This window comes from Homo sapiens, chromosome 10 (genome assembly GCF_000001405.40).
Source record: "Homo sapiens chromosome 10, GRCh38.p14 Primary Assembly".
Taxonomy (NCBI): Eukaryota; Metazoa; Chordata; class Mammalia; order Primates; family Hominidae; genus Homo; species Homo sapiens.
In genome coordinates, this window is record NC_000010.11 from 122,394,804 (window position 1) to 122,416,216 (window position 21,413).

Here is a 21,413-nt window from a genome sequence, read left to right on the forward strand (position 1 = left end):
ATATGTATGGTTTCTCCTGAATTTTACTTGAAGCTCCTTGATTATTTTTCTGTGTTCCTACATAATAGATTCTTCTTGTCATTCTTCCTTTATCAGTACTACCCATTTAGCAGAGCTAAAAGGAGTTAAGTACAAAATAGAATATATTTATTACCCTGAATAAAACTTGAACTTGGAATTCAGAGGAAAGTTACACAGCTAGTAGAAGGAGTTGAAGTCTTCATGGAAGTGGTAACATTTGAAATTGACTTAGAAGTTTGGATATAATATTGGCTAAGAGATGGAAAAGTTGAGTATTCCAGTGCTCAAAGAACAGTGTGGGCAGAGATCAAAGCAAGAGAGCCTATGGCGTGTTTGGAGACTAGATCACTTTGGCTATAGCACTCAGCTAGGTCTTGTCCACATAAACTTTTAAAATCCAGATCTCTATGTTAGAATTAATGCATTGGCTTTTCTGGACACAGTGCCAGTTTTTTTTTTAAGTACAGAATTTAAATATTTTTTAGTTTGTTCTTATTAATTTTATATCTTCTTTCCAACTTAGGAAATCTTGATTCTGCCAGCCAGTGTATTAGCCATTAGTACCAACTTGGTGTCACTTTTAAATGTAATAATCAAGACATACCTACTCTTGAAAACTTTAGTAAAATGTCTTGCTAAGATTATTATATTATTTTCTTTCTTTATCAAGGTTATTATGTTCAGTATAACCGTGTTATTGCATCTTGACATAAGCAATTAGATTGAACCATATGAAATTGCTAATATACAGCCATTTTGAATTACTAAAAAAATGGCAATGTCATATGGTTCAATCTAGTTGCTTATGTCAAAGTATAATAACATGGTTATACTGATCATAATAACCTTGGTAAAGAAAGAAAATTAGTTTGATTCCTCTATTATTAGGAAGCCACTTCTTCCCCTGACCACTGCTTCCTTTACCACTAACCATGGGTTTAAAAATTCTTTCTAGTGTTTATTAGGGATCACTTTGGGGCTTCCTGTGTTTTGTCCAGGAGGTTGGTAATCATGGAGAATGAAATAATTAAGTTGCTGTACGAGGGAGTGCATTTGAAGATATTCGAAAAAGTATTTGGCAAAATGAGTTTAGGAACTCATAATCAACAAATGGCCTATTTCCCTTTTTTTCTTAAATGTTCTATTAGTTTGTTATTTCTTGTTCATTGTCAAGTAACAAATTTTGAATCTCATTTTTTTCCAGTCGAACCTGATGGTAATCATACTAGTCCACAGAAACTGCGTATTTTGAATATTGTTTTTCTCTCAGCTACTTAAATTTCCCCATAGTGTACTACTATTACTGTGACACTTTATGTCATGCTTTGGTTTCTCATTTGTCTTCCTTCCACAAAGGCTTAGAGCTCTATTCAGCAGTTAAAATAATAGGCTCATGAAAAACTGAAAAGAAATAAATTATTACCCTTAAATGGAAGGGTAACAGTTTTTGAAAAAATCACTTTGGTGGTAGTTAGAGATTCTTGAAGACATATTTACATTTCTTTTCCTTCTTTAAAGTTAAAAACCAAAAACCCATAAATCTAAAACGTTATACATAAGAATACAAATAGCTTTTTAATGTTATACATTAATGAATTATAATTTTATTTTATATGCATATTTACTATTGATGATTTATATTTGGAAGCTTGTACGTAGTATATAGTTTAAAGCAGAACATAATTAATGGAGTTTTACAATATATAGGTGTGAAAGTTTTTAAAAGATCTGTCCCTGTCAACAATAAGCAGTTCATGTTTGGGACTCTTAAGTCTTTGAAATGTCTAGGCTTCCAGTTACCTCCTAATCATTCATTAGAACAAGCCAATAGATTTTTATATTTTTAAGTACGTTATTATAAAGTCAGTTGAAAAGTTGATCCTGTCTTATCTCCAGCAGAAATAATTTTCAAAATCAACTAAAACTAATGTTTTCATTTTTACTTCTGAAATCTTCTATCAGTCTTTTATCAGTCTTCTATCATAGAAATGAAATTTATATTCTTGATTTGTTTTCCCCAGATTCTTTTGTCTGGTTTTCCTACCTCTATCTTCCTCTTCTATAATCCCTTCAGTTTATTATAAGATATATTATAAAAAGAGCATAATTTTGATTCCAGATCTGCTCATAAGCCTTCTTCGTTGGCCTCAAATTCTCTACGATATAAATTCTTTGCTACTTTTTTATTTAGGTCCTCTATGATTAGGTTCTCAGTTCAAGTTTTCAGACCACCATTTTGTACTACAATCTTACAGGACACTGCATTACAGCCCCACATAGCCCCCCTCTCTCTTTCTAGTACAGAGCTGTGCATCTTCCATTGTTTGCTATAGTTTGTCCATTTTCTCTGCTTGGAATATTCTCCCCTGCTTTTTGTGTTTCAAAATTTTCCTTAACCTCCAGCCTAAATGTTGTTCATCACTTCAGTCTTTCTGGATAGCTTCAACCAGAGATGATTCTCCCTCTATGTTTACCTTTAGCTCTTTTGATGCAAACCACATCTGAAACTTACGGGAAGAATGAAAATACTGTGTGTGAAAGTGCCTACATTCCCTGCATATGATAAAGAGAAGCAAACATTTTTTTGTGGAAAAAAAAGTATCAATGTAGATTAATATGGCATAAAAAACAGTAAACCATTTAAATGGGGGGAAATGCAGTCCATTTTTGTCAAGAGATACTTGATAAAGAAATTTTAATAGAACAAAGTAATATGTATAGTCTTTTTAAGTATCTTACAATTATATTTGTTTTCTGCCTGTAAATATTTCCCCCTTGCTTTCAGGAACAAAATCTGATCTTGTTCATGGCTTTTTAAGCTCATGAGAAAGTATTAGTTTAGCTCCAGTGATAAAAATAGCCTTTTAGTCATAGAATGCATGATAATGGAACAGAGTAGGATTCAGTTTTGTTATCCAAGCTATGGACTTGATTTCAGACCTAGTAAAAATTTGAACAGAAGAAAAGTTCATTTGTAAAATGTGATATTAAAAAATTGAGTTTTTAACTTTTCAGAAGTATATGTGGAACATTATATTATAAAATGAATTCATAATATTGGATATTAAGTATATATTAATACTTTGTTTCTAGAACCTACCTTCTGGATCATCACGTGTTGGAGCCATTAAGCTTACCTACATTTCAAAGGTAGTCTTTATACATTGTCTTATACTCGTGTGAATTAAAATCCCTGTGAATGAGAGTATGAATAGAAGCAGCAGTTTCCTTTCCATGTCCTTTAACAGTGATGTTCAGATTCCTATCATACTGAAATGGTACCTGATTACTACGTTTAGGAAATTCTTTAAATCGATACAGTTATGAAGAATATGATTTTAACTTACAGGATGTGGCAAATTGCAAAAGTTAACATTAACTTTTATGATCAGGTATATGAACATCAGAAAGGGAGAAATCAGTGAAACAAATTCTATCTTGAGAAAGTCTGGAGATTTTTCTAAGTCTGTATTATGTTTATTTAGACTGTTTTCAACTTTTAAATCCCATTGTCTTTGATACTTTGTTTCTTAATGTTTTATTTTGAGGAAAATATGGACCATTTTCATGTTGAAAGGATGATTTTCCCCCTCTTTTCACTTTGTCTCTTTTCATTTCTGTTTTCTTATTTGTTTTTCTGGTAATTTTGCAATACTATTTTTTATTTTTTAAAATTTTGATTTTATGTTTGTCAGGTACATTTTTTTCTTATTTTCTTCTATTAATGTTTAGGGAACTAAGTGATGCTGAGGTGCTAACCCTATGGGTTTGTGTGTGTGTGTGTGTGTGTGTGTGTGCATGTGTGTTACATAAAAGTAATAAAAGTTTGTTGATTACTTATATATGAGATGCAAAAGGTAGCAACAGTATTATTAAATAATATGGGTACTGTTATGCATATACTGAGATCTGTTGGCAAAGGTAGATCACTTCAACAGAAGACCAATTTACAAATGTGCCTCTGTTTAGAAGATAGATGTTATATAAATAAAATACTTTATATTAGTATTACAGTAGAGGTATTCATTCTCATTGACCAAAAAGAAAAGAAAAGAGCCCTTGGACAATAAAGATTACACATTTAAAAGGAAACATTTTTCTGTTAAGATCATACTATGTAAATTTACATACGACAAATATTGTATGGAAGCTCTTTCTTGAAATCAGTAAAGTAGGTGGGGTAACTGGCCAGCTGCTTTCCTCTCCTCCATTGCTCTTCTTTTAAAATAGAACCTTTTTTCTGTGCAGTTCTGTAACTTTCATCTTGTCCTCCTGCTTCCTGAAGTTTAAATTGTGCAGTTTGTACTCTACTTTGGACGTACCACTTTTTTTCCAAAAAAAAATTTATTGTTCCAAAAATTTATTTCTGGAACAAACTTTTGTGTGACTCAGAACTGTGAGTTTGTAGTTGGGATCAATGAGGAACCCCAGGCTTAGAATTCCTTTTGAAGGTGCAAAACGGATGCTACAATTATAAGTTCTATCACTGGACAACAGCATGGCAATAGTTGTGAATGAGCTTCTGGGAGGTACTTGATTTAAAGGGATAGCAGCAACCAAATGCAGCTAGTTGCCTCATCTTCTAAAATGAACCATGAGCTGCATTTAATAAAGTGATCCCATTATCCTAGGGCATTCTCCTGTACAAGAGAGGATCCAGTCCCATTTTGATCTCCTCATAGCAGATTAATGTCTTAATCTTAATTATTAAGATTAAGATTAATTCAATTAAATGCCTGGATTTGTGGACTTTATTTTTATTTTTATTTTTATTTTTTGAGATGAAGTCTCACTGTCTCCCAGGCTGGAGTGCAGTGGCGCGATCTCGGCTCACTGCAAGCTCCGTCCCCTGGGTTCACGCCATTCTCCTGCCTCAGCCTCCTGAGTAGCTGGGACTACAGGCGCCCGCCACCATGCCCAGCTAATTTTTTTTTGTATTTTTAGTAGAGACGGGGTTTCACCGTGTTGGCCAGGATGGTCTTGATCTCCTGACCTCGTGATCCGCCCGCCTTGGCCTCTCAAAGTGCTGGGATTACAGGCGTGAGCCACTGTGCCCAGCCTAGATTTGTGGACTTTAAATACACAGTCTCCTCTTTACCCAGCCCCATTTTTGCTTAAAAATCATAGCTAATTTAGAAATATGTTATTTGGGAAGAATGCATAGTTCTTGTAGAATATTCATTGAGGATATTTTGAAAATTATTTTAAACTAAAAATACTTGTGTGTATGACATAAAGCCTAATGGTTTACTTTCAGCTTCTCTCTGACATTTCTTTGAAGAGAAAACAAGTTGTTCAAAGAAAATATGGAAGTATTATTTGTTACCTCTTACAGTTGGGAACTGCATCCTATGTATTTAAATTTGCCATCCTCTTTTAGTTGTCTTTAATTTTAAGTCTGTTTACTAAATGTGTATGATTATTGGGGAATCATACATGTGGAAGTTTACATAGTATATAAGGTTGGTTTTAGGATTATATGGAGAAGTGAGGAACCCGTCTCTATTTTTCTTTTTAGGTTAGCGATGCTACTAAGCTAAGGCCAAAGGCGGAGTTCTGTTTTGGTAAGTAGCCATGTTATATATATTTTAAATAGACTGATATAATTGTATCATATTGTAAAAGAAAACTGTTGCAGAAAACCACACAAAACCTAGGGCTTAATGAATTATTCTAAAGTGAATTCCCTTGTAACTGCTATACAGATAAGGAAATAACATTTTGCACCCCCTCTCCCCTAACCCTGAAGCCTCTTTCCTGTGTGCGGTCCTAGTTACAAACATCTCCTTCTACCCATATGTAACTGTTATTTTGGCATTTATAATGATCACCTCCAGTGAGATTTCAGGGAATTTTAAACTTTCTACGTCATGTTATTCTATATTAAACATATAAATAATTAAAAGGATTTGGTCTTTAGCTTTTGGGTAGTGAGAAATGCTCAGTTTGGGGTAGGAGTAGTTGAGGGTATTGGATTAACTTACCCAGCAAATGTTTAGTATATGCCAGGCACTGTGCTTGGCACTGGAGCTGTAAGATGAATAAGAAACAGTTGCTGCCCTTAAGGCTGGTTGGCTCATAAATAAAAAATACCAGGCAATTAATATTGCAGTTGTCACAACCTGTAGATAAAGGGATATGCAGTCTATTAAAGCACAAAGAATGACCTTCAAATCTTTATTGGGGAGCTCAGGAGTCGGGGAGCCTCACTGGAGGAGGAGATGCTTACGTTGGTGGCCAGCTAGCCTCCTGCTTATATCCTTTACCACTGCAGAGAAAAGGCAGGAGGACTACATGCAGAGGCTTGTGGGGAGAAGAGCGTGGTGTCTCTGGAGCTGAACACTCTGAAGCTAGAGGGTATGATAAATGGCTAGAGAGTAAAAAGGCAGGCAGAAGCCAGGGTGCTGTGTTTTGACGAGCAATAGGTTTTATTACTTTGAACAAAGGAGAAGAAAAAGAGAGCATCTGGAAAGCAGACATAAGGTGAAGGAGGGTTTTGTTTGTTTGTTTGTTTTTTTGTATGCATAGGAAAGTTTTGATATAGGTAGACTGGGTAAGTGTCTTTTGAACTACTGTACTTATGTAAGGTCCTGAGTTAGGGTGGTGGCAATAGGAGAAGGAGGAAGGGTGAAAAGAAGGAAAAGTGCAGGGGCTTGGTGGATATGGGGGAATTGGAGGGAAGAGAGAGGTAGCAGGGAAGTTTGCTTCAAGTAAAGAAATGAGAAATCAGGGAGAGCTGGTTACATAGGGTAAAATGTTTGCTATGGAGTTGAAATGGTGGGGAACTTCCAAATGGAAATGTTCTGTTGACAGTAATCGAGGACTGGATGGAGCTTTAGGGTCAAGAATGGAGAAATTCGGAGTCTGTTGAAAAGTGGGTGGTAGTCGAAGCTAGGAGAATTGATACCCTCTCAGAGAGTATGTTAGTGGACATGAGTGACTGAAGGAACGAATATTTGGAGTGGTCAACTAACATCAAAAGAGACTTTCACATTAAAGTGAGAGATACTTTTGGGAGTAGAATTGAAGTTCTTTGCTCTCTTTTGCTTGAAAAGGGCAGATTTCTTTAGGCAGTAGTTAGGAATAGCATCTTGATATGAGCAAGATGAAACGTGGCTGTCAAGGGAATCCTCTAAAATGCTTTTATCTCACTATGAAGCTATTTTTAAAAGTTACATGTTTATTACTAATTATAATTTTGGTTACGAAACAGGAAAATGCCTCAGAGCCTTGTAATTGAATGGGTATTGCAAGTCAAATAACTGAGAACTTTGTATTTTAGAATGTATAATGCACATACTTTTGACAACCCTTTTTTTTCTAAAATCTCAAACTTACAGGAATAGTAACATACAGTAATAGACTTGACATTCATAGTTATTGGAGTATTTAGAATGGGTGATTTTAGTTGGAATCAAAAACTAAGATTAGTCGTTCATTGGTCAGGCAATAGTTTATTAGTCCTCTACTGTTAGTGGGAGTAAAGATTCATGAAATGCTTACCTTCAGAGAGAGAAGCACTGACTTCTAAAATAGAACCACAACTTTCATTCAAAGTGGCAACATATCTTCTCTCAGATTGTCCCAAACCAGTGAGAACAAGAAACGTGCAAGCCATTTTTGATGGAGGGAGCAGAGTATCTGTAACCCTCAGTGTATAAAGTTGGAAAGTAGATAGAGGAATGGTAGATAATTTAGCAGAGTGGAGGAAGAGGCCAATGAAAAGCTAACCATTTAAGTGTTCTGCCCCCACCCCAACTCTAGATAGGCTTAGGTATAGGAGATACATTTTCTGGGGAAGCAACAGTGAGGAAGGACCAAAAACAGGGACTTTGTTTGCATATCTGTATCAGAAACAACCTCTGTTCCCTACCTCCAATCGGGCAGACACCCTTCTTCTGTCCCAGCAGGTAATGGGATGTGTGGTGTCTCCAGAAATAGAATCAGTGAGGCTGTATATTTAGGGGCACTAGTCCCAGAGAACGAAAGGAATGAGGCACGAAACTGAAAATAGGAAGATATCTTAAATGAAAGTCTGCACAATCAGTGCAACCCCAGCCCCAGAGCACTGGGCAGCCAGGTTTAGGTGAGTAAGATCTGACTACCCTAGAGAAAAGATCCATAGATACTGACTGACATCTGGGCATTTCTACTAGAAGAGCTTGCCATAGTTGACTAGTAAGGTCCACAATCAACAGCCCTACGACAATGCAAGAGAGCTTTTCATCAGTCTTTTTAGCACTTTCTTTTAAAATATGAATAGACAGCCCAGGATTACTGAACATTTGATGAGAGCGGATTATCAAACAGGAGAAGGAACATGAGACAATGCAAAACTCATTTTGCATTTCTTTGAAAAAGTCAAAGAAATCTGAAAGTACAACAAAGGTAAAGATAGATAATGGAAAAGAGATAAAAACCATCAAGGAAGTCCAACATCTGATAGAGACTGAGAGGACAGAGGAAAGTACAGAATAGAGAAAACAGAGTGGGGAAAATTGACAAAGAATATGATAAAATACCTTAGAACCTCTTGATCCAAAACCGTATATTCATAACCAGTTGATCTCAGGTTGTGAGATGATTTTTGTTTGCAGTTAAGCTAATGTTTATGCTTCAAGTTTTATCCATTTTATGTATTCATTCTAATCATAAAGATTTGAAGTTAAATACTCAAGTGGAAAAGATAGGAAGGATACAAGCTTCTAGGGATGCATGTATTATTCACAATGAAACCCTTGCTTTAGGGTTTTTATGGCAACTTAGCAGTGTCAGAGTTTTTTTTTTTTTATTGTTCAAAGATTTTATTTCTTTCCCTTTCTCCCCTCACCACCAATATTGCTAATACACCACATTTCAGTAACTTGCTTTCCCCTTTTTTTTTCTTTTGAGATGGAGCCTCACTCCCCCAGGCCGGAATGCAATGGTGTAATCTTGGCTCACTGCAACCTCCACCTCCTGGGTTCAAGCGATTCTCCTGCCTTAGCCGCCCAAGTAGCTGGGATTACAGGTGCCCACCACCACGCCTGGCTAATTTTTGTATTTTGAGTAGAGACAGGGTTTCACCATGTTGGCCAGGCTTGTCTCGAACCCCTGACCTCAAGTGACTGGCCTGCCTTGGCCTCCCAAAATGCTGGGATTACAGGCGTGAGCCACTGTGCCCTGCTTTACATTTTTTATAGTGCTTCCTTACTCCTTAGAAATCTCCAGATGATGGCAGTGAAGAATATTCTATACCAAGCACTGTGTTAGTTTCTTTACATATATGATCGTCACCTCTTAAGGAGGTGGAATGAGTGACATTCCCATTTCACAGATGAGGAGTATCGGGCTCAGAGAAATTAAATAATGTTTAAAAGATGATATTGCTTGTAAGTGCATAAGCTAGTCAGGTTGGATTGATTCCAGACTGATTTTTTTTTTCTAGATCATACCTATATATCTACGTCTTGCCATGAAGTAATTCTTAAAGTACATGAGATTTTATTCAGATTGCAAGGTATACTAGGGGTCTTTTTTAGATATATATTTGCATCTCTTCCTTCCCTTAGAAAAGATCCTTATATATTTATTCAAAAGTATATGTATTAAGCATTTACTGTGTACCAAGTGTAGTATATTAGTAAGTGCATAGATTTTTAAATTCTTCAGATATTCTGGGCAGATGCCCAAAATAACATTGAGGGGAAGAAGCCATTATGAATGAGGAGAGCTCTGCTTCAGCCTAAGCTGAAAAAAGATTATAAAAGGAAGCCTTACCGATGGCTAGAAATTAAAAACAAGTTATTTATTGATAGATATAGCATCCTAGTGAATTATGGATTTATCTTAATACATATTTATGGCAGTTATAACTTTTCCAGTCTCTAGAAAGATGTACAAGAACAGATTTCCAGTGTGTTAAATTTCTTTTAAGGTTATAGACTGGTTGTTTTGTAGCACTTTACAAGATAGGCTTTGACTTCCTTTCTGAGACCTTCATCTCAATTCAAGGAAGCTGTAGTTTAGAGTGTTTTGGTCTCAGTCCCAATTTCAAAATCTTGTGTGTTTTCCTTGAGAGTTTGCATTTCCCCTTCTCAGTCACATTGAACTGTGTGCTAGTATATCTTTTAAAATTTTGGTGGAGACGTTTGGAAGTTATTTTTATATTTGAACAATTGCAACAGTATAACTATTCAGATACTTAGCTCCTAGAATAATATTTATGCTTTTAAAAATAAATGCAGATGGTGTATAATAAATAGCTTTAATTCAAGAGTGGACTATGATAGTTTATAGACAACTGTATGTGCACATGTGCTTTGCTTGATAAAAGTACCTAGTCCCTAAAGGGGAATATAGAAACTAAATTGCATAAAAGTTCCAAATGTATTAAGATTCAAAATATAAAGGAAATTCATAAGGTCTAGAAAAATAGATCTTAAGTTAGGGAGATTTTCTAGATGATATGAAATCTGGATGCATTTATAGAAAAGATTCATAGTATATTTCTGTCTGATCAAAAATACTGTTAAAGTAAAACAGACTGGGTAAAGTATTGGTAATAAAGCAGAAAAGATTAATAAAGAAGTTGCTATAAATTAATAATGAATTCAGGAGAAACGTGGGTAAAGAAAGTAAACAAAACTTACAAAATAAATGCAGATGGCCAATAAACTTACAAAACTAATTTATCTCAATAACCAAAGAAATTAAAATTTGAACAAGGTACAATTATTTACCAATTAGGTTGTTAAAGAGTATTAGCCAGGAAAACAGCACACTAGATATTTCAAACCTAAGGGATTTGTTATGGGGAATTGGTTACCCAAATATTGGAAGGCTGAAAGAACATGAAGGGAATGCTGAAGTAACCCAGGAATTAGACGCATGAAGCAACTACTACTCAAGGGCTAGAGAGACAAAAGAGAAGGGGTAGTAGTATTACTATAACCTAGGGCAGTGGAGTAGAAGCCACCATGGAGCTATTAGTATCCAAGGGGACTCTGCAAGGCTGGCATAGGGGGCAGGAAAAGGCTCCTAACAGTAGCTAGTTGTGTGCTGCTGTTGGAGAGAGGTCAACAACAGCAGGAGTCAAGGAGAGTCTCCTCTTTCCTTCTCCCCTCTCCCACCTTACAGTCTCTCATCAGTACCTCCCAGTGGCAGAGAATGGCCTCAGATGGGGTCTAGGAAATATTGTTTGCAGACTACCAGCCCCAGTGCCACAGAGCCTTTGAAAACTAGAAACTAGAGGTATCCACAGGTGCTAACAACCAGTTCTGGTGAGGGGTATTCGATGAAATAAAATGTGTATGTGGTTGGTAGGAATGTGAATGGATTCAACTTTGTGGGAAGATGATTTGGAAATACCTATAAAAAGTTTAAATGTCAATTGTCTTTGACCCAACAAATCTATGTCAAGAAATTTATCACCCAGAAATGCTAGCCAAGTGTGGAGAAATATATGTATATGATGTTTCATTGTGATATTTTATATAATTTCAAAAACCGGAAATAGCCTAAGTGTCTATCATTAGGGGATTGACTAAATGTATTGTGGTGTATCCATTTAATAAACAAAATGGCCATAACAAAATAAGAGTTTTACCTGTGTTATTGTGTGATAAAAGCTGTATTACATGTGGTCTGATATATTTTGTCAAATCCACGAGAGTCACGGTGTTGAACTTAGCAAGGTTTTTCAGCTACTGCAAACATAAATTTAGAGGTAATAAGTACAATATTTGGTGTGTTATTTTTTTCTGTCAACAGTTATGAATGCAGGAATGAGGAAGTACTTCCTACAAGCCAATGATCAGCAGGACCTAGTGGAATGGGTAAATGTGTTAAACAAAGCTATAAAAATTACAGTAAGTATATGTATTTTTTTGAAAAACGTTCGATGTCTGGAATTAATCTTTTCATTTTGAAAATACACCTACCAAATGTTCCCAGCTTACCAACAGGTTTCATACTCAAGCTTTGTTTAAAAGACAGGTGTTCAGAATGTGAATATGTTTTCTTGTACTTGGTGACTGTTGGCACTTTAATCAGCCCATGATTGTCTTTTTAACTTATGCACCTAATAAGGAGATATATTACTGCAGATCTTAATCACTTCTTGCAACGTTTCTAGGAGAAAATGCGCTTAGCACGTAGAGTTCTACCGGGAGGATATATATTTTTCTTCCAATATAGTGTAAGAGATTTCCTGTCACCTACCTGGGGAATAGGCACTTCTCTCTTCTAAGCCATGACTGGGATTGGGGTCAGATAGGGAAAGAGTTGAAAACAGGAGCAGGACAAGGGGAGATGAAGGCTGAAAAATGAGGGTTAGGGATAGGAATAGTGTCTGAAGGGTTGCGGCAGCCAGAGGGTCCTGTCCATGTGACCCTTGAGAAGTTTGTCTCAGGCTCTAAACTTCTTCCCATGTCTGATTTTTTTCCTTGCATTCCAGGGCTTGGTACCCTTGCCCTCCTTTCCCATGCTACAATTTCTTGCTTCTAATGTGTGCTTCTTTTCTTTTTTGGTTTCCTGATGAATATTTATTGATTATTAACACTGTGCCAGATCTTAGACCGAAGGTTTTACTTAAATGAACTGGAAAAGTGAGGCTTAGAAAGATTAATCTACCAGTGTTATAGCTGGTAGATTATGGAGCTGGAAGCCCAGTCCAGTTTTTTGGCCTCTGGAGCCCGAACTCTGAAGTGCAGTGCCTTACTGCTTCCTGAACAAGAACAGCCCTCTCCTTACTCTTTTGTTCCTAAAGCCAACAACAACCTTTACTGAGAGAGTTTGCTAGTGATGATGAGCAGCACGTAGATAGGCTCTATTTTGATTATACCTTGCCTCACCTTTCCCTTTACACTTTTGTAGAGAAATACATAGCAGGCCTGCCTGGAAAATGTTGGGAAGGAGTTCTTGTGTTGTGAGATTTGTGTCAATTGCGTTTTTGTTTTTGTTTTTTTTAAAGAAAGTGCAGTTATATACTGACCCTAAGTGACTTATTCTCAAAGAACATGTGCCCTGAAAGTCAGCATATGTTAGTCACTCATTAGTTTCCATCTAAAATGAATAATTTCCTATTTATATCACAACACAATAAAGAGTCAATATAGTTAAAGCTGTTCTCAGAGTTTAGTCGAATCTTTTTGTTTTGCTCTAGAACAGCTTGTTACCACATGACAGAAAACGCCTACGCACCGCATCTGATCTGTACATGAAGCAGAAGTTATTTTAGGTTTGTGCAGTGTCAGGAAAGCAATTTTTTAACCTGATTCAGACATACATATTCTTAAAAGCTTTTAGCTAATCATTTTAACTCTTCTAATAAATATTCCCTGCTTGAAAAATTTCTTTAGAAAGATAATATCTCGTAACTGTACTAAATTCATGTTTTACCATTTGCAATAACAAGCAGCACTGGTTTCTTAGTGCTTTAAGAGAAAAAGTAGTGAATGGTCTCAGGCTTTTTACCATTTTGGGGGGTCTTGAATTGCTATGTCTGATTTATCAATGGTATGAAACAGTCTTATACAAATGACACTGGTAAGCTTTTCAGCATGAAGGAAAAACAGGTTAGAGATTCTAAATAGAATTCTAAAAAGACTTCTAAGTAGCTTTTGTGGTCTTGCAATTTTATTTTACCTGTTGAAATTTTTATAGTTTTTAAGATAAATTTGTTGGTAAATGATTTTAATGTTTTTATAATTCACATTTGGAAAATATAAATACATAGAAGTTATAGAAATCCTTATTACTTAATAAAGTGGTTATAACTGCATTAAAGTGAGTATAGATTTGATAGTACTTATTAAAAATAAACTTTTGATAGACACACATTTAACTCATAGGATAGCAATGAAATAATTTCCTATGCTTTAATAAGATGCTTTATGTTAATTTTATTCCTTAAAAATATCTTACCAGTTTCATGTGCATTTTATACATTTAAGTGTATTAAAGTGTGGAATCTCCAATTTGTTATATTTTCCTGTGAACATTGCTGATGATTTACATGTAGATTATTTGAAAACTTAAAATGTACATTTTGATGTATGTACTTAATACATAAATCTTTCTATGGGATCACTCTCATTTTGGTCAACTCTAATTTAGTGGTCTGCTAAGTACTGTGTGATATATAAATTTTAAAATTTTGGAAATCCAAAATTAGAGTTTGGAAGTGTGTGGTTTCAAAATAGAGGTGGTTAGAGGGCAATGGGTAAGGGAATGATGATTTTTAAACTATTTCCTAGTTATAATATCTTGCCATTTTAATCCATTATCCTCTAACGCTATAGTCTGTGACTTTCCTTACTTGAGTCTAGGTGGGTGCCACTTGAAATTCTTTTCCCTTTACAGTTGCTTTTCAACTTATGATGGGGTTACATCCTTATAAACCTATTGTAAGTCAAAAACACAAGTTGAAAATCCATTTAATACCCCAACAAACCCACTTGTAAAGTTGAAAAATTGAACCATTGTAAGTCCTGGACCATCTGTATTAAACATACGCACAAAAAGGAAAAGAGCAACAGTGGGAGAATCAGCCCCGAAGGGGGAGTATCAATGACTGGAGTGAGGAAAATCAAATTTTAAAGTATGCTTTCCACTGTTCATTTATAGTGGAAATATATATAGTGGAAATATAGTGGAAACAACATAAATATGGTGGTTTCTGTTCCCTTATTGATTATTAAGGAATGTCTAAGATATATATGGTTTATTCCTGAACAGAGATCCATTATTTTTAAACATGTCTTTTTTAAAATTTAAAAATAAATGTTCGATTTGAATCTAAAAATTAGTACTTTGAATTTGTGGCAGAAACTCCACAAGTTTGATATATTTTTAATAGAAACTGGAAACAAGTAGATGTAGAATTCTCAGAAAGATTGTAAGACCCAGGAGTTTGTGTCTGCACGTTTTTATCCTCAGTGAATTGAACATTATGACAATTTCATTCTTTCTTTTTATCCTTTTTTTTTTTTTTGAGACAGAGTCTCGCTGTGTTGCCCAGGCTGGAGTACAGTGGTGCTATCCCAGCTCACTGCAGCCTCCGCCACCGGGGTTCAAGTGATTCTTGAGCCCTCAGCCTCCTAAGTAGCTGGGATTACAGGTGTGTGCCACCACAGCCAGCTAATTTTTGTACTTTTAGTAGAGACTGGGTTTCGCCATGTTGTCCAGGTTGGTTTTAAAACTCCTGGCCTCAAGTGATCCGCCCAGCTTGGCCTCCCAAAGTGCTGGGATTACAGGCGTGAGCCACCGCGCCTAGCCCAACATTATATTTTCATTCTTGGTGAATTGAATATCAACTTTCCCTTTAACTTTTGAGAAACCTGCAGCGTTTTTATGTATTTCACTCATAAATACTTAAATCTGTCTTGTTCATCTTTTTATTCTCTAGTTATTTTTACCTTTTCTTTTCCTACTATTAGAATTTCCTACTACTAGGATCACATGCAAATGCCTGCCAAGATTACATTCAGATCTCCTACAAAAAATGCTGGGACATAAAAAAGGATAGAAAGCCAAGGAAAGGGAGAGAGGCAGTAGACAAAGAAACCAAGTGGATTCAGTGTCTGACATGTGCCAACTGCCCAGTGAGATCACTTTTCTGATTTTCATTGGACAGTTGGATGGTTTGGGGCAGGGGTGTGTCCTGAAAATGTCTATCTTAATGGCTGAATTTAGACCAAGTTTTACAGAGGTACATATTGTTTTTAGAGGAGTTATCCATGTTCATGGGTATTTTGCTTGAACTTTTCTTGTTCTTAGGGAATAAGATGATTACAAGTTAGATAATTTTTATAGTAAAATGCAGTTCTAAGTTAACTACTAGCATTTGATTTTATTATAAAGACAAATTAGAAGCAGTGAGCTTAACAGCATAAGCAAGGACTTTTAATATACTGTAATTTAAGAAAAATGGAAAAACCAATATAAATTTCGGTATTTTTTAGAATGATTTTAAAGGTTTTTCCTAATAATTCCCAGGTCTGACTAAACTTCTTGAGAGAATAACTGCTAGTTTTCTTATGGGTCACCTCTTAGCAGCACCTCTCATTTTATCTAGTTGAATAGATTGTTTTCTCTCTGGTTTCAGGTTCTCTTAATGCTAGTTGCTGTTCTTCTCAATGAGATAACTGGGCCATATTTTCTCTGTCAGAATAATTGAAATATATGGTGCTATTCATTAGAAAATATAATGGGCTTCCCTAGCAAATCATTCCAGGGTATACTATCCTAATTTTATTTGACAAGGAAAATTCTCTTCATTATTTTATTGTCTTTAAAAAGCACTCCAAAGTGTGCAAGTTCTTAGAAGAATTCAAGAGGTATTCAGGATTCTCTTCTCTTTCCTGTTTTCTCTCTCTTTTGTTTCTGCGGATGAGGGCATTGTAGTATGAATACGAACCAGAGGCTGGAGGATTGGGCCTGGGGCCTGAGAGAAACCTCTTCAAGGGAGGCAGGTGGAGAAGGAAGGGAGAGGGAGTTTTAGAAGTCACTTAAGAGACAAGTCATTTATTATATCCATAAATTACATTTGTGTGGATTGGGACTTACTGTAGCTCAGCATCCTTTCATATACACATGGACCATGTTTGCTCAATATTTTGCAGAAAGCTGCTTTGCAAATCCTTATCTGCATTGTATACCCTCTTTTCTACAAATCTGGTGGGAGTAGCATCGTATGGAAGAAGAGCACAGGTTTTAGAGCAGTGTTTCTCAAAGTGTGGTTTATGAAACTCCTGCCTCAAAAATGTCTGGTGTTCTTGCTTAAAGTGCAGGTTTTTGGGCTGCACTATAGATATGTTGAGTCAGAATTTCTGGGTTCGAAGCAGGGGAATCTGAAGTTTTAAATAATGTTCCTGGGTGATACTTTATGCACTCTAAAGTTTGAGAAATCACACTGCTTTGGAATCACACTAATAAACGGTTTGAGCCTTTGAATACAATGTGAGTGGTGTCCTGTAGTTCTACCAGTACTCTATTAACAGGAATTAGCTATATGACAAGCAAACTATTTAAGTTAAATGTTTCTACACCACTACTTCAGTGATTGTCAGTAGTATTTGTCATAGTGTTTCTGAAAGACTGCAAGGTTCCACGTGCCCTTTAAATCATTGGAGAAGACTAAATCATGTTCAACATTATAATTGATGCTGAGCAGATTTTATTACATTTTATTCACAGCCTTAAAAATGTATAATTTAAATACAGACTATGTGCTAAACAGTCTACAGATAGAAATAATGATTAACTGAGTACCTTATTTACTGAATAGATCACATAAGAAAAGCAAAAATATATGTTAAAAATTTATGATACCTCTGATTCTTTCATCCACTTTAGTGAGGTGTTAATGTGAGATTCTGCTGTTACCACAGTCATTGTTTTCCTGTACTTGTGAACGATTTATCATTGATCCAAGTATTGGAATTCCTTCTTTAAATTTCTAATGAAAAGTTTTGTTTTGAAACTTCTGATTTGTTTTAAGAATTTTGCTATTCTTTTTTCTGCTGACTTTGGATTCATCCATTGAGTCTTTCAACATTTATTGAATACACTATGGTTTTGGTAATAGTCTCTGTCTTGAAGCCAGGAAAGACTGAATATGCCACAATCCCAGAATCATGGGTAGGAATGGAGAAAGGGAAGAAAACAGCAAAGAGCTGTAAGCCAATAGTAAGTGTGCCAATAAACAGGGTCTAGAGCACAGCAGTTGGGCTTGGAAGAGTTACACACACTTGGCTAGAATGTATTATAGTCAGGATCTGAATCTATATTCCCTAATGCCCCTGAGCCTATTTCCTTACCTCTTAGGTGGGGGTAGAGCCCCTATGCATAGGGTAGACAGGAGTAGTAAAGGAGAAAAATGTGTGAACTAGTACCTGCCCGAGTAAGCACTCATTACGTGATAGCTATATTATAAAATATTATTCTAACAGAAAAATTAGTGTGATAACTTAAGGAGTACATACATGGACTATAATTTTTATATGTATCTGTCAACCGTATGCAAACGGATGAATAATTAGAAATTCTGCGAGAAAACAGGTTCACATGTATAATGCTGGTTGCAAAATGATTCATTTTATTTACTATTTCAGGTACCAAAGCAGTCAGACTCACAGCCTAATTCTGATAACCTAAGTCGCCATGGTGAATGTGGGAAAAAGCAAGTGTCTTACAGAACTGATATTGTTGGTGGCGTACCCATCATTACTCCCACTCAGGTAATTAAGTAACTCTTCTATTGTGTGAGGGTCTAATTATTGTATATTGATTTTTATATTATTAAAACTAAAACAGTGCATCTTTGCTTAATTGGTATAATATACAATTACTATAAAATATTTTTGTTTATTTCAAAAGTATTTATTATAAAAAATTTGGAAATTACATAACATTTAAAACTTCTCATGATTTCTCTGAGCCTTTCTTCATGTACTTTTCACCTCAGAAATGGAGATATGAGTTGTATATTACATTTTGTAAACAGATTTTTTCACTTGTATCATGAACATTTTCCAAGTCATCAGAAATCCTTTTATATCATTTTTAATGAGTGCATAGTAGTTCTTCCATGGATTTACCATAAATTACAAATCCTCTATTGGACAAATAGAGTTCCTTTTCCTTTTTGTTTCTTTTACTTTATAAACAATGCTATGATGAATATTCTTAAAGGAGAAATTCCTAGAAATAAAATTGCTGAGTCAAGAGTTTGCAAGTAGTAATTTTTAAAATCTATTTTTTCTACAACCTGGCCTAAGTGAGCTAAACAGAAGACTGGAATTTTAACTAAGTTATATCTCAGAAGTACTAATATGCTAAATTAAGTCTTTATTTGAGTTTTAGGAAAAATATAAATTTACATACAATTTTTGATGAAATTAAAACTCTTGTCTGAGCTTGAATTTCTTGTTTTGCTATTGAAAAGGATGAATTTGTAATGGATATTAAGTTACTAGTAGTTGAGAAACCAAGAATTTTAAAGTAATCAATTGGTATTGCCAAGCTTGGGTATTTTCATTACCAGTGTGCCTTTTGAACTCAAAAGACTTTGACACTTTATAAATCTTTTAAATCAAATTGTATCATTCCCCACATTTTTCAGGTCTTTTGCTACGGGAGGGTGATTAGTGGGATTAGAAATCTTACAACATTAATTAATTAATTAACTATTGAGTGCTTTCTTTATGCTTGGCAAAGGGTATGTTAATGAACAGAAATTCCCTGCTGTCATAGAGCATACATTTTCCACCAAAGTTGGATAAAAAAATAAGCTAGGATTGTGTGTTTACTTTTTCCAAAAGTAATGATTTTAAACTGTTAACCTTCTGGTTACTATGTACCTAGATTAAGCTTCTTTCACTGGTATTATGACCTATGTTGACATAAGGGGTAAGACTATTTTCCTGTAGTTGTGTTAAGACACTGTATTAGTTTGTATCTGTGGCTGTTTTAATTTTGTCTAGAGTTAAGATTTTGTTGCATTGTAATTTTGGTATAGATATTTCAGTAGTTTCTAGGATTTTATGGAGGGTATAATTTTATTGCATCATTTATTTTGTAGTATAGTTTTAAAAATTATAAAATAATATATGTCTATCATAAAAGGCAAAAATTGGTAAATTGGACCTCATCAAAATAAAAAATACTTGCTCTATGAAAGACCTTCTTAAGAGGATGAAAAGAAAAGCTACAAACTGGGAGAAAATATTTGCAAACCACATGTCCAACAAAGGACTTTTATCTAGAACATAGAAAGAACTCAGAACCCAACAGTAAAAAGCCCAAGAAATCCAATTAGAAAATTCATGAACAGATATTTCATCAAAAGATAAAAGATAAACAGATGGTAAGTAAGCACATGAAAAGATGTTCACCATCATTAGCTAGCAGGGAAAAAATACAAATTAAGAGCACAATAAAAGATCACTGCACACCTCTCAGAATGGCTGAAATAAAAGTGACGACACAAATGCTGCCAAGGTTGAGGAGAAACATAATCTCTCAGGTGTTGCTGGTGGGAATGAAAATTAGCCACTCTGAAAAACAGTTTAGTGTTTATGTTTTGTTTTTTTTTTAATAATAAAAGTAAGCTTGTGATTACTGTACAACCCAGCATTTGCAGGACTAGGTGTTTATCGTAGAGAAAGGGAAAATTACATTCACATAAAAACTTGTGCATGAATGTTGATAGCAGCTTTTTTCCTAATAGCTAAAAGTGGGAAACAACTCAAATGTCCTTTAATGGGTGAACAGTTAAACAACTGGTCATCCATCCATACCATGGAAATATAGCAATAAAAAGGAATGAACTCTAGATACAAGGAACAGTCTGGACGAATCTCTAGAGAATTATGCTGAGTGAAAAAAGATAATCTCAAAAGATAACCTTCTGTATGCTTCCATTTACATTACATTTTCAAAATGTCAAAATTATAGTCTTGGAGAACAGATTAGTGGCTGCCAGGGGATTTAGGGGTAGGAACTCTAAAGTTCACAAAGGAGCCTTGGGGTGATGACCAATTCTGGGTCTTAAATGTGGTAGTAGTTACACAGATCTACACATGTGATAAAACTGCATAGAACTGTATAGACACACATAGATGAATGTATGTAAAACTGGTGGAATCCGAATAAAGTTTGTGGGTTGTGCCAATGTCCATTTCTTGTTTTTTGATAATGTTACGCCGTTTCCCTTTGAGGGGAAACTAGTGAAAGGGTACATAGGACCTGTTGTACTTTTTTTGGGCAGCTTCTGGTGAATCCTTATAATTATTTCAAAATAAAAAGTTAACTCCTTCCCCAAAAAAGAGCACTGGTGGCAGGACTTGTGCAAAACAAGAGGAATGGAAATTTGTGCTTTAATCAGTGACAGGAAAATTAAGAGTAAGTATCTCAGATTAATTAGAAAACTCTTCAAAAATCTGTTTCTGACTAATCTAAGGTGGATTTTAAGATTTTCTACTGGGATAATATGAAATAAAAGTATGCTAAACAAGCAAGAAAATAATTTATTTATTTTGCTTCATTTTAGAAAGAAGAAGTAAATGAATGTGGTGAAAGTATTGACAGAAATAATCTGAAACGGTCACAAAGCCATCTTCCTTACTTTACTCCTAAACCACCTCAAGATAGTGCGGTTATCAAAGCTGGATATTGTGTAAAACAAGGAGCAGTGGTGAGTAGCTTAACAAAATACATGAAATAATGAAAAAGGATTACGTTCTAGCAAACTCAAATTAACATGGAAATTGTTTGCTTTATTTTATGAAAGACCCAAAGTGAGAGACCGGCATGCTGAGGAGAGTCAGGAGATAAAATAGGGGATATTCTCTGTTTATAATTCAATGCTGTTATTTGCTTGGTTTGCAGGGGGCCAGGAAAGTTAATGC

At 35.1% G+C, this 21,413-nt stretch overlaps 1 protein-coding gene across 68 annotated transcripts in view; it reads left to right on the forward strand.

The window, feature by feature from the left end:
• Positions 1 to 21,413, forward strand: part of PLEKHA1 (pleckstrin homology domain containing A1) — a 67,893-nt gene that overhangs the window by 20,096 nt on the left and 26,384 nt on the right. For 54 of the 68 annotated variants that reach the window (XM_024448108.2, XM_047425608.1, NM_001377244.1 and 51 more), the window contains 5 exons: positions 3,115 to 3,171; positions 5,540 to 5,585; positions 11,773 to 11,870; positions 18,117 to 18,242; positions 21,056 to 21,199. In XM_024448108.2, the coding sequence (XP_024303876.1) occupies positions 3,115 to 3,171; positions 5,540 to 5,585; positions 11,773 to 11,870; positions 18,117 to 18,242; positions 21,056 to 21,199 (471 nt within the window). Of the gene's footprint in view, positions 1 to 3,114; positions 3,172 to 5,539; positions 5,586 to 8,913; positions 9,032 to 11,772; positions 11,871 to 18,116; positions 18,243 to 21,055; positions 21,200 to 21,413 lie in introns of all 68 variants that reach the window. The other 14 variants (NM_001377254.1, NM_001377255.1, NM_001377257.1 and 11 more) reach the window with 8 other exon arrangements.